This window comes from Homo sapiens, chromosome 4 (assembly GCF_000001405.40).
Source record: "Homo sapiens chromosome 4, GRCh38.p14 Primary Assembly".
NCBI classification, from domain to species: domain Eukaryota; kingdom Metazoa; phylum Chordata; class Mammalia; order Primates; family Hominidae; genus Homo; species Homo sapiens.
In genome coordinates, this window is record NC_000004.12 from 166366001 (window position 1) to 166379820 (window position 13820).

Sequence of the window (13820 nt, forward strand, 5' to 3'; positions counted from 1 at the left end):
CTCTGGGTTTTCACATATACCGTTTCCATCATTTGAAATAATGTTTGTTTTAAATGTCTTCTCTAGAATTTGTCATTTCTACATTTAATAACTACTGCTTTCTGACTTCTTTCCATGAGTGTTGTTAAAGAAACAGTCTAGACAAAAGTATTTTCAAACAAAAGGAAAAAGTATTCTTGCGAAAAGTTGCCGGGCAGGTTTCAGAAAGATTAGCTCAAGAAAGATAATGAGTCATTAAAAGAGAGTGTAAGTCACAAATTACCACAGCATGGCCATTTAGCCAAATATAGAATAAGCTTTAAAACTATTTTTTCTTTTGCTGTAGTAATATTGTTTGTAAATTTATTATTTGGATGTAATAACAAATGAGCATAAAAAACATGCTGTCAGAAATAGTATCAACCATAGAATAACCAACTTTTATTGAGCACTTACTACATGCCAAACACTGACTATATCATCATATGTATTCTCATTTGAATGACATAAAAACTATGTGATATGGTACTATTATTTTCCATGTTTTACAATTACAGAATGGATTATGTTCTGAAATAATAAGGCATGAGTTAATGACCTAAAGCCTTATAAAACTTCCCTTGTGCCCAGATAAGAAAAAAACAGCCATTTTAATATAGTCTTGCCTTTAGACCATGGTGGGCTATCATCAGAACTATGTTCAGTATGCCCCTAATCCTCCAGCCTCAAGGAACCCAACCTCAGCTTTATTCACAATAGCAAAGACAGAATCAACCTAAATGCCCATCAATGAGAGATTTGATAAAGAAAATGCCATACATATACACCATGGGACACAATGCAGCCGTAAAAGAGAACAAGATCTATGTCTTTTGCAGGAACATGGATGGAGCTGTAGGCCATTATCTTCAGCAAATTAATGCAGGAATATAAAACCAAATACCGCGTGTTCTCGCTGATAAGTCGGAGCTAAAAGATGAGAACTTATGAACATAAAGAAGGGAAAAACAGACACTGGGGCCTCCTTGAGGTTAGAGAGTGAAAGGAGGGAGAGGAGCACAAAAATTAATTATTGAGTTCTAGACTTAGTACCTGAGTGACAAAATAATCTGTACAACCAACCCACTTGACATAAGTTTACCTGTATAACAAACCTGCACTGGGACCCCTGAACCTAAAATTAAAAAAATAGTAACCTAAACGCTCAACATCACATATCATCAGGGAAATAGAAATTAAAGCCACAATGAGCTATTAACCCATAACTATTAGAATTAGTGTTGGGGCTGGGCATGGTGACTCATTCCTGTAATCCCAGCACTTTGAGAGGCCGATGCCAGTGGATCACCTGATATCAGGAGTTCGAGACCTGCCTGGCCAACATGGTGAAACCCCATCTCTATTAAAAATACAAAAAAATTAGCCAAGCGTGGTGGCAGGCACCTGTAATCCCAGCTACTTGGGAGGCTGAGACAGGAGAATCGCTTGAACCCGGGAGGTGGAGGTTGCAGTGAGCCGAGATCGTGTCATTGCACTCCAGCCTGGGCAACAAGAGTGAAACTTAAAATAAAATAGAATTAGTGTTGGCTAGGATTCGGAGAAAAGGGAACTCCTGCACACTGTTAGTGGAAATCTAAATTAATACAACTATTTTGGAAAAAAATACAAAAATTCCTCAAACAATTAAAAACAGAACTAACATATGATCCAGCAATCCAAATACTGGGCATATATCTAAAGAAAATGAAGTTAGTATGTGGAAGAGATACCGGCACATTCATGTTCTTTGCCTCATTATTTACGATAGCCAAAACATGGACTCAACTTAAATGTCTATTAGGGGATGAATGAATAAAGATAATATCATATGTGTGTGTGTGTGTGTGTGTGTGTGTGTATAATGGAAGACTATTCAGCATTAAAAAAAAACTAGTTAAATATTGAGCATGTTTTCCTGTACCTGTTGGCCATTTGTAGGTCTTCTTTTGAGAAGTTATCTTTTTAGCTCCTTTGCCAGGTTTTTAACTGGGTTATTTGTTTTCTTGCTATTGAGGTGTTTGAATTCTTTATATATTTTGGATATATTAAGTTGTATGGTCTGCAAATATTTTCTCTTATTCACAGGCTGGCTCTTCACTCTGTTGATTTTTTTCTTTGCTGTGCAGAAGATTTTTAGTTTGAGGTAATCTCATTTGTCTATTTTGCTTTTGTTGCCTGTGCTTTTGGTGTCATTTTGAAAAAAACATTGCCCAGACCAATGTAATGAAAATTTTCCCCTGTGCTCTCTTCTGGTAGTCTTATGGTTTCCGGACTTATGTTAATGTCATCAATCCATTTTGACTAAATTTTTGTGCATGGTGTAAAATAGGGGTCCAATTTCAGTCTGCAAATGGATATCCAGTTTTCCTAGCACCATTTATTGAAGAGACTATTCCTTTTCCCATTCCCTGTTCTTGGCACCTTTGTTGAAAGTCAATTGACTATAAATGAGGGAATTTATTTCTCAGCTTTCTGCTCTTTTCTCTTGGTCTATGTGTCTGTTTTTATGCCAATACCATGCTGTTTGATCACTGTAGCTTTGTAATATATTTTAAAATCTGATTTTATGTGTCTCCTACTTTGTTCTTTTTGCTCAAGATTGTGTTGGCTATTGGGAGTCTTTTATAATTCCATATAATTTTAGGATAGTTTTTTTCTGTTTCTGTGAAAATTGTAACTGGAATTTTGGGTAATATGGACATTTTAACAGTATTAATTTTCATTTTGTCATGGTGGCTTACTTCATGCCTATAATTCCAACAGTTTTGGAGGCTGAGGTGGAAGGATTGCTTGAGACCAGGAGTTCAAGGCTGGAATAAACCTGGGTGACAGAGCAAGACCTCATCTCTAAACAAATAAACAAATAAATTCTCCTAATCCATAAACGTAAGATGTCTTTCCATTTATTTGTATCTTCTTAATTTTTTTCATATATCTCTTATAGTTTTCTATGTACAGATTTTTTATCTCCTTAGTTAAATTTACTGTGAAGTATTTTAATTTTTATCTATTATAAATGAGATTTTTTACCTAATTTTTTTCAGATAATTTTTGGGGTATAGAATGCCAACTGATTTTTGTATGTTGATTTTCTATCCTGCATCTTTACTAAATTTGCTTGTTAGTTCTCACAGTTTTTTGGTGGCATCTTTAGGGTTTTTTATATATAAGGTCATATACCTTCAAACAAATAACTTCCTTTCTGATTCAGGTGACTTTTATTTCTCTCTGTCTTGCATAATTTCTCATGCTAGGAATTTTAGCACTAAGTTAAATAGAAGCAGTGAGAGTGGGCATCCATGTCTTGTTCTTGATTTTATAGGAAAAGCTTTCAACTTTTCACTGTTGAGTATAATGTTAGCTTTGGGCTTGTCATATATTGTTTTTATTGTGTTGAGGTGCATTTGTTCTATACCTAATTTGCTGTGTGTTTTTATTATAAAAGAATGTTGAATTTTGTCAAAGCTTTTTCTGCATTTATTCAGATAATCTTATGATTTTTGTCTTTCATTCTGTTAATGTTTTATATCATATTTATTGATTTGTATATGTTGAACCATCCTTGCAACAGGGATAAATCCCATGTGATCATGCCGAATGATCCTTTAAATTCTCCATTGAATTCAGTTCGCTAATGTTTTGTTGAGCATTATTGTATGTATATTTAATAGAGATATTGACAATCATTTTCTTTTTTGGAGTGTCTTTGCCTTTGCTATCAGAGCAATGCTTGTAAAATGAGTTTGAAGTATTTCCTACTTTTCAATCTTTTTGGAGATTTCAAAAAGTCTTGGTATTATTTCTTTAAATATTTGGTAGAATTCATCCATGAAGTTATCGGTTCCTCAGGTTTTCTTTGATGGGAGATGTTCTATTTAAATTCAATCTTCTTCTCTGTTTTTAGTCTGTCCAGGCTTTTGATTTATGATTCAGTCTTGGAGGGTTGCATGTTTCCCAGAATGTATCCACTTCTAGGTTAGCCCATTTGAAAGCATATAATTGTTCACAATAGTTTCTTATGACCATTTGTATGTATCTCTTGTAATGTCCTCTCCTTCATTTCTGATGTTATTTATTTGAGTCTTCTCTCTTAGTCTGGCTAAAAGTTTGTCAATATTGTTTTTATTAAAACAAAAAAAACTCTTAGCTATGTTGATTTTTAAAATTTATTTATAGCATCTATTTCATTATTATATCATTTCTTCTATAACTTTAGACTTAGTTTGTTCTTCTTTTTCTAATTCCTAGAGGTGAAATACTAGCTTCTTCATTTGAAATTTTTCTTATTTATTTAGGCATTTATTGCTATAAACTCCACTCAAACTGCTTTTGCTGCAGTATAACTTTTGGTGTGTTGTGTTTTCATTTCCATTTTTCTCAATACATTTAATTTTTTTTTTAAATTTCTTTTATGACATATTGGTTAACCAGGAGCATATTATTTAATTTATTATTTTATTTATTTACTTATTTATTTATTTATCTATTTTTTATTATACTTTAAGTTCTAGGGTACATGTGCGCAATGTGCAGGTTTGTTACTTATGTATACATGTGCCGTGTTGGTTTGCTGCACCCATTAACTCATAATTCACATTAGGTATTTCTCCTAATGCTATCCCTCCCCCCTTCCCCCACCCCACGACAGTCCCCAGTGTGTGATTTTCCCCGCTCTGTGTCCAAGTTGTTCAGTTCCTACCTATGAGTGAGAACACGCAGTGTTTGGTTTTCTGTCCTTGTGACAGTTTGCTCAGAATGATGGTTTCCAGTTTCATCCATGTCGCTACAAAGGACATGAACTCATCCTTTTTTATGGCTGCATAGTATTCCATAGTGTATATGTGCCACATTTTCTTAATCCAGTCTATCATTGATGGACATTTGGGTTGGTTCCAAGTCTTTGCTATTGTGAATAGTGCCGCAGTAAACATACGTGTGCATGTGTCTTTATAGTGGCATGATTTATAAATACTTTGGGTATATACCCAGTAATTGGATCGCTGGGTCAAATGGTATTTCCAGGTCTAGATCCTTGAGGAATCACCACACTGTCTTCTACAATGGTTGAACTAGTTTACAGTCCCACCAACAGTGTAAAAGCATTCCTATTTCTCCACATCCTCTCCAGCACCTGTTGTTTCCTGACTTCGTAATGATCACCATTCTAACTGGCATGAGATGGTATCTCATTGTGGTTTTGATTTGCATTTCTCTGATGACCAGTGATGATGGGCACTTTTTCATGTGTCTATTGGCTGCATAAAAGTGTTCTTTTGAAAAGCATCTCTTCATATCCTTTGCCCACTTTTTGATGGGGTTGTTTTATTTTTTCTTGTAAATTTGTTGAAGTTCTTTGTAGATTCTGAATATTAGCCCTTTGTCACATGGGTAGCTTGTGAAAATTTCCTCCCATTCTGTAAGTTGCTGGTTCACTCTGATGGTAATTTCTTTTGCTGTGCGGAAGCTCTTTAGTTTATTTAGATACCATTTGTCTATTTTGGCTTTTGTTGCCATTGTTTTTGGTGTTTTAGTCATGAAGTCCTTGCCCATGCCTATGTCCTGAATGGTATTGACTAGGTTTTCTTCTAGGGTTTTTATGGTTTAAGTCTAACATTTAAGTCTTTGATCCATCTTGAATTAATTTTTGTATAAGGTGTAAGGAATGGATCATTTCAGCTTTCTACATATGGTTAGTCAGTTTTCCCAGCACCATTTATTAAACAGGGAATCCTTTCACCATTTCTTGTTTTTGTCAGGTTTGTCAAAGATCAGATGGTTGTAGATGTGTGGTATTATTTCTGAGGCCTCTGTTCTGTTCCATTGGTCTATATGTCTGTTTTGGTATCAGTACCATGCTGTTTTGGTTACTGTAGCCTTGTAGTATAGTTTGAAGTCAGGTAGCGTGATGCCTCCAGCTTTGTTCATTTTGTTTAGGATTGCCTTGGCAATGCAGGTTCTTTATTGGTTCCACATGAACTTTAGTTTTTTCCAATTCTGTGAAGAAAGTCATTGGTAGCTTGAAGGGGATGGCATTGAATCTATAAATTACCTTGGGCAGTATGGCCATTTTCATGATATTGATTCTTTCTATCCATCAGCATGGAATGTTCTTCCAATTGTTTGTATCCTCTTTTATTTCATTGAGCAGTGGTTTGTAGTTCTCCTTGAAGAAGTCCTTCACATCCCCTGTAAGTTGGATTACTAGGTATTTTATTTTCTTTGTGGCAATTGTGAATGGGTGTTCATTCATGATTTGGCTCTCTGTTTGTCTGTTATTGGTATATAAGAATCCTTGTTATTTTTGCACATTGATTTTGTATCCTGAGACTTTGTTGAAGTTGCTTATCAGCTTAAGGAGATTTTGGGCTGAGGTGATGGGATTTTCTAAATATACTATCATGTCATCTGCAAACAGGGACAATTTGACTTCCTCTTTTCCTAATTGAATACCCTTTATTTCTTCCTCTTGCCTGATTGCCCTGGCCAGAACTTCCAACAGTATGTTAAATAGGAGTGGTGAGAGAGGGCATCCCTGTCTTGTGCCAGTTTTCAAAGGGAATGCCTCCAGTTTTTGCCCATTCAGTATGATATTGGCTGTGGGTTTGTCATAAATAGCTTTTATTATTTTGAGATACGTTCCATCAATACCTAGTTTATTGAGAGTTTTTGCATGAAGGGCTGTTGAATTTTGTCAAAGGCCTTTTCTGCATCTATTGAGATAATAATGAGGTTTTTGTCTTTGGTTCTGTTTATGTGATGGATTACATTTATTGATTTGCATATGTTGAACCAGCCTTGGATCCCAGGGATGAAGCCAACTTGATCTTGGTGGATAAGCTTTTTGATGTGCTGCTGGATTCTGTTTGCCAGTATTTTATTGAGGATTTTTGCATCGAAGTTCATCAGGGATGTTGGTCTAAAATTCTCTTATTTTGTGTGTATCTCTGCCAGGTTTGGTATCAGGATGATGCTGGTCTCATAAAATGAGTTAGGGAGGATTGCCTCTTTTTCTATTAATTGGTATAGTTTCAGAAGGAATGGTACCAGCTCCTCTTTGTACCTCTGGTAGAATTTGGCTGTGAATCTGTCTGGTCCTGGACTTTTTTTGGTTGGTAGGCTATTAATTATTGCCACAATTTCAGAGCCTGTTATTGGTCTATTCAGGGATTCAACTTCTTCCTGGTTTAGTCTTGGAAGGGTGTATGTGTCCAGGAATTCATCCATTTCTTCTTGATTTTCTTGTTTATTTGTGTAGACGTGTTTATAGTATTCTCTGATGGTAGTTTGTATTTCTGTGGGATCATTAGTGATATCCCCTTTATCATTTTTTATTGCGTCTATTTGATTCTTCTCTTTTCTTCTTTATTCGTCTTGCTAGTGGTGTATCAATTTTGTTGATATTTTCAAAAAACCAGCTCCTGGATTCATTGATTTTTTGAAGGTTTTTTGTGTCTCTATCTCCTTCAGTTCTGCTCTGATCTTAGTTATTTCTTGCCTTCTGCTAGCTTTTCAATTTGTTTGCTCTTGCTTCTCTAGTTCTTTTAATTGCGATGTTAGGGTGTCGATTTTAGATCTTTCCTGCTTTCTCTTGTGGGCATTTAGTGCTATAAATTTCCATCTACACATTGCTTTAAATGTGCCCCAGAGATTCTGGTATGTTGTGTCTTTGTTCTCATTGGTTTCAAAGAACATCTTTATTTCTGCCTTCATTTCGTTATTTACCCGGTAGTCATTCAGGAGCAGGTTGTTCAGTTTCCATGTAGTTGTGCGGTTTTGAGTGCGTTTCTTAATCCTGAGTTCTAACTTGATTTCACTGTGGTCTGAGAGACAGGTTGTTGTAATTTCTGTTCTTTTACATTTGCTGAGGAGTGCTTTATTTCCAACTATATGGTCAACTTTGGAATAAGTGCAATGTGGTGCTGAGAAGAATGTATGTTCTGTTGATTTGGGGTGGAGAGTTTTGTAAATATCTGTTAGATATGCTTGGTGCAGAGCTGAGTTCAAGTCCTGGATATCCTTTTTAACCTTCTGTTTGTTGATCTGTCTGATATTGACAGTGGGGTGTTAAAGTCTGCCATTATTATTGTGTGGGAATCTAAGTGTCTTTTTAGGTCTCTCAGGACTTGCTTTATGATCTGGGTGCTCCTGTATTGGGTGCATGTGTATTTAGGATAGTTGGCACTTCTTGTTGAATTGATCCCTTTACCGTTATGTAATGGCCTTCTTTGTCTGTTTTGATCTTTGTTGGTTTAAAGTCTGTTTTAGCAGAGACTAGGATTGCAACCCCTGCTTTTTTTTTTTTCCTTTCCATTTGCTTGGTAGATCTTCCTCCATCCCTTTATTTTCAGCCAATGTGTGTCTCTGCATGTGAGGCTCTACCTACCTTTGGTCTTTGATAATGGTGACCTACAGATGGGGTTTTGGTGTGGATGTCCTTTTTGTTGATATTGATGCTATTCCTTTGTGTTTGTTAGTTTTCCTTCTAATAGTCAGGTCCCTCAGCTGCAGGTCTGTTGGAGGGAGGTCTACTCCAGACCCTGTTTGCCTGGGTATCACCAGTGGAGGCTGCAGCACAGCAAATATTGCAGAACAGCAAATATTGCTGCCTGAGCCTTCCTCTGGAAGCTTTGTCTTAGAGGGGCACCCAGCTGTATGAGGTGTCAGTCAGCCCCTACTGGGAGGTGTCTCCAAGTTAGGCCACATGGGGGTCAGGGACCCACTTGAGGAGGTGGTCTGTCCATTCTCAGAGCTCAAACACCATGCTGGGAGAACCACTACTCTCTTCAGAGCTGTCAGGGACGTTTAAGTCTGCAGAAGTTTCTGCTGCCTTTTATTCAGCTATGCCCTGCCCCCCAAGATGGAGTCTACAGAGGCAGGCAGGCCTCGTTGAGCTTCAGTGGGCTCTACCCAGTTCAAACTTCCCAGCTGCTTTGTTTACCTTCTCAAGCCTCAGCAATGGTGGATGCCCCTCCTCCAGCCCAACTTGCCACATCGCAGTTTGGTCTCAGACTAGTAGTAAGCAAGTCTCCGTGGGCATGGGACCCACTGAGCCAGGTGCAGGATATAATCTCCTGGTGTGCCATTTGCTAAGAACATTGGAAAAGTGCAGTGTTTAGGTGGCAGTGTCCCGATTTTCCCAGTACAGTCTGTCACGGCTTCCCTTGGCTAGGAAAGGGAAATCCCCTGACCCCTTACACTTCCCGGGTGGGCTGTACCCACTGTTCAACAATTCCCAATGAGATGAACCAGGTAGCTCAGTTGGAAATGCAGAAATCATCCATCTTCTGCATCAATCACGCTGGGAGCTGCAGACTGGAGCTCTTCCTATTTGGCCATCTTGGAACAGACCTCCCATATTATTTAATTTTATACATTTGTGCATTTTCTAATATTTTTGTGTCATTTGTTTCTAGTTTCAGATCATTGTGATTGAAAAGACACTTGATTTGTTTCAATTTTCTTAAATTTGTTAACGTTTGTTTTGTAGCCTAACATAAGATCTATCCTGGAGAATGTTCTGTGTGTTCTTGAGGAAGACGTATATTGTACTACTGTTGGATGTGTTTCTGTTAGGCTTATTTGGTCTAACGTGTAGTTCAAGTCTGTTGTAATCTATTAGGATATTTTTCTCTATTTTGTTCTTCAGGTTTCTTTCTTTAGAGTGACTGTATGCCAAAATAGCCATTCTTTAGAAGAACTCACCAGAGAGAAAATTGGTTTCAGGTGTGTCAGGTGAAACACAAATAGGAGGTAAACCCAAAATGCATGAAACAAAAGGAATTTATTATGCACAAGTACAAGAGAGGTTGGGGTGCTGAAGGGAGGACAGTGGGTAGTCTGAAGGTGGCAGGAAGTTCAACGTGCAAGAGAGGCCCCATGGAACTATACCCTTATTAAGGTTCATGTGCATTACCCCTTAGGTTTTTCCATGGGGGTTGTGGATTGGCTAGTTTAAAGAAAACACACACAGGCCAGGCGTGGTGGCTCATGCCTGTAATTGCAGCACTTTGGGAGGCCGAGGTGGGCAGATCACAAGGTCAGGAGATTGAGACCATCCTGTGAATGGTGAAACCCCATCTCTACTAAAAATACAAAAAACTAGCCGGGCGTGGTGGCGGGCACCTGTAGTCCCAGCTACTTGGGAGGCTGAGGCGGGAGAATGGCGTGAACCTGGGAGGCGGAGCTTGCAGTGAGCTAAGACTGTGCCACTGCACTCCAGCCTGGGCGACAGAGCGAGACTCCATCTCAAAAAAAAAAAAAAAAAAAAAAAAGGAAACACACACAAAGAGAGAAAATTATTTATATAAACTGGTGTTGACTGTTAGGTTTTATTGTTGTCCATAGCTGTAGGTTGTGTTGGGTTTGGGGTCAGTCAGATGAGGAACAAGTGGGTTGTATCACAAACAACACACAAGGAGGGATGGTAATATAACCAGGACAAAGGGACACAGTACACTAGGTTTCCATCAAGTATGTCAGGCCTCAAAATGGTTATTGACACAACTATATTAAAGTATTTTATGAGAAAGTGCAATGTTTCCTTATTGATTTTCTGTCTGGATGATATATCCATTGCTGTAAGGAAGGTATTAAAGTCTCCTACTATTATTATTTATCAGTCAATTTTTCCCTTCAGATCCATTAATATTTGCTTTATATATATATTTGGCACTTTAATGTTGGGTACATTTATATTTATGATTGTTATGTCCTCTTGATATATTTATTTATTTTAATCATATAATGTTCTTCTGTGTCTGTTTTTGTAGTTATTGTCTTAAAGTCTGTTTTATCTGATAAATATATAGCTACCTATACTCTTTTTTGCATTCCATTCACACAAATCCTTTTCCATTCCTTCACTTTAAGTCTCTGTGTGTTCTTAAAGGTGAAGTGAATCTTTTCTTGTGAGCAGCATATAGCTGGGCCTTGGTTTTGTTTGTTTTGTTTTTATTTTTTCAGTCATTCTGTGTCTTTTAATTGGATAATTTAATTCATTTGCACTCAAGGTAATTAGCAACAGATAAGGACTTACTACTGACATTTTGTTAATTGTTTTCTCACTGTTTTGTAGGTCCTTTGTTCCTTTCTATCTCTCTTGCTGTCTTTGTGATTTGATGGTTTTCTCCAGTGGTATGCTTTGATTCCTTTCTCTTTATCTTTTGTGTATCTATTATAGGTTTTTGTTTTGTGGATATTACGAGGCTTACATAAAACATTTTATGGTTATACTAGGCTAAAGTTGATAAAGACTTCACTTCAATTGTGTACAAAATCCCTATACTTTTCATGTCTTCAATTTTATGTTGCTGATGTCACAATTCACATTTTTATATGATATATCCCTTAACAAATTATTATTGCTATTTTTATTTTTAATAGTTTTATCTTGTAATCTTCATACTAAATACATAAGTGATTTACACAGTATCATTATAGTATTATAGTATTCTGAATTTGACTATGTTTTCATTTTTTCCAGTGAGTTTTATTCATCCATATGTTTTCATGTTACTACTTAGCATCATTTTCTTTCAGCTAACTCCTTTTAGCATTTCTTGTAAGGTAGGGCTTTTGTGATAAACTCCCTCAGCTTTTGTTAGTCTGATAAAGTCTTCATCTCTTATTCAGCTTTGAAGATCTTTGCTGATTAAAGGATTCTGGGTTGACAGGTTTTTTTCTTTTTTTTTTTTTCTTTCAGCACTTTAAATATGTCATTGTATTATCTCCTGGTTTGTGTGGTTTCTGATGAGAAATCTACTGATAGCCATATTAGAGTTCCCTTGTGTGTAATATGCTTCTTTTCTTTTTCAGCTACCAGGATCCCCATTCATGAGTTTTACAGTTTGATTTTAAAATGTCTTGGCGCAGTCTTGTTTGGATTGAGTCTTGAGTCTTACAGAAGCTTTTAAGCTTCCTATACCTGGATATTTAATTCTTTCCCCAAATTTGGAAAGTTTTCTAAAACTTGTCAAAAGTCAGTTTTATTCCCCTTTCTCTTTCTTTGCTTCTTCTTAGATATCCATTATGTGTAAATTGGGTTGTTTGATTGTGTCCCATTATTTTCTTAGGCTTTCTTCACTTATCTCTTTTCTTTTCTTTTCTCTCTTCTCTTCTCTTTTCTTTTTTCTTTTCTTTTCTTTGTTACTCTGGGTAATTACAAATAACCTGTTTATGACCTCACTGATTGTTTCATCTGTTTGATCAAGTCCTCTTTAGAAGCTCTCTCCAGAAACTTTAGGTTTGGTTATTGTGTCTTTAGCTCCAGAGTTTCCATTTGTTTTGTTTTGTTTTGTTTTTTAAGAAATCTTGTCTATCTCTTTGCTGAACTGATTTGTTTGGCTATTGTTTTTCTGATTTCATTTAGTTTTCTAGCTATATTCTCTTGCAGCTCACGGATCCTCTTTAAGATGACTACATCAATTTTTTCAAGCAGATCATCAAGATTTATTTATTTTGGATTGATGACTCATACTTTATTTTGTTCTTTTAATTGTGCCATGATTTCCTGATTGTTCATGTTCTTTGTGGCTATGGTGTTGTTGTCTATGGATTTGAATAAATAGGGACTATTCCAGTCTTTGCATAGTGGCTTTGGCTGGGAAAGCCACTTACCAGTCAGCTCATTCCAAGATTCTGGGCAGCCTATCTGTCATGGCCTATGGGAAATTTGCTGCTGGAATTCTTATGCAGGCTAGCCTGGAGCCTGGGTTAACAGCTGGGCAGACTTGGCTCCTGGATCTGCTGTGTTGGCCCTGGGCCCTGCGTTTATTGCAGGTGGACATAAAACTTGAGCCTGCCATGATGGACATAGATTATTGGTTCACAGGGGCTGGTCTCATCCCAGGAGCCACTGGGGTGGACCTTTTGACTGGGTCTGCAGAAGCAGGCTTGGATCCTGTATTCATGGGGGCCGTCCTAATCCCAGATTGACAAGGTTTTTCATGGCACTAGTTTATTTCATAAGCCTGAATGTGCAAGTGCCAGCCATTTGCTGGGATGGGCCCGGTGACTAAGTACACAGAGACAGTCCTGGAGCCTGGTGCCCCGGGAGCTGGAATGGCTCTGAGTCGGAGCTATAGGCTGAATATTTGGGGAGAGGCTTGGGCCCTGGGACTTTGAGGACCAACTTGGAACCTAAGTCTACAGAGGCAGTCCTGGAGTCTGGGTCTACGTCTTCTGGCCTTATGCTGGGGTCTACTACAATGAGGGTGAGCTCTTGGTCATCGGACCCTGGGTCTGTTGGAGCATGGGGCTGCAGAGGCTGGTCTGGTGTTGGACAGGCCAGAATTCTGGGTCTGTGGGCACCAGCCTGGGGTCTGGGGTTCAGTCCAGTGTTAGGATTCTTCTGAAGCTTGAAGCCACTGAGGTTGGCCTGGTGCTGGAGTGGATCTGGAGGCTGGCTGTAAGTGTTGCTTTGAAGTTTGAGGCTGTGGAACCTGTCCTGATACTCTGGCAGATTGGGTCCTGCGTGAGGAAGGACCATTCTGGAGCTGGGGTTCATGAGTACAAGCCTGACACTGGGGAGGGGCTGGAGGCTGAGTCCATAGAGGCTGAAATTGTATTGGGATGGTGTGGAGGCTGAGACTAGTTGGGGCCAGCCTGGTGGTGCGGCATACCTGGTCCCTGTGGAGATCTAAAACCTGGGTTTGCAGCATCTAGCTTGGCACTGGGGTTGGCCTAGGGGCTTGATACTTGTGTGCCAGCCTGATGACTAGCACACAGGGGAAAGCCTTTGCCTGGTGAATATTGATAGTATTAATATTGTGTTCCTTTATTATACTTTTTATTTTTCCTTTATT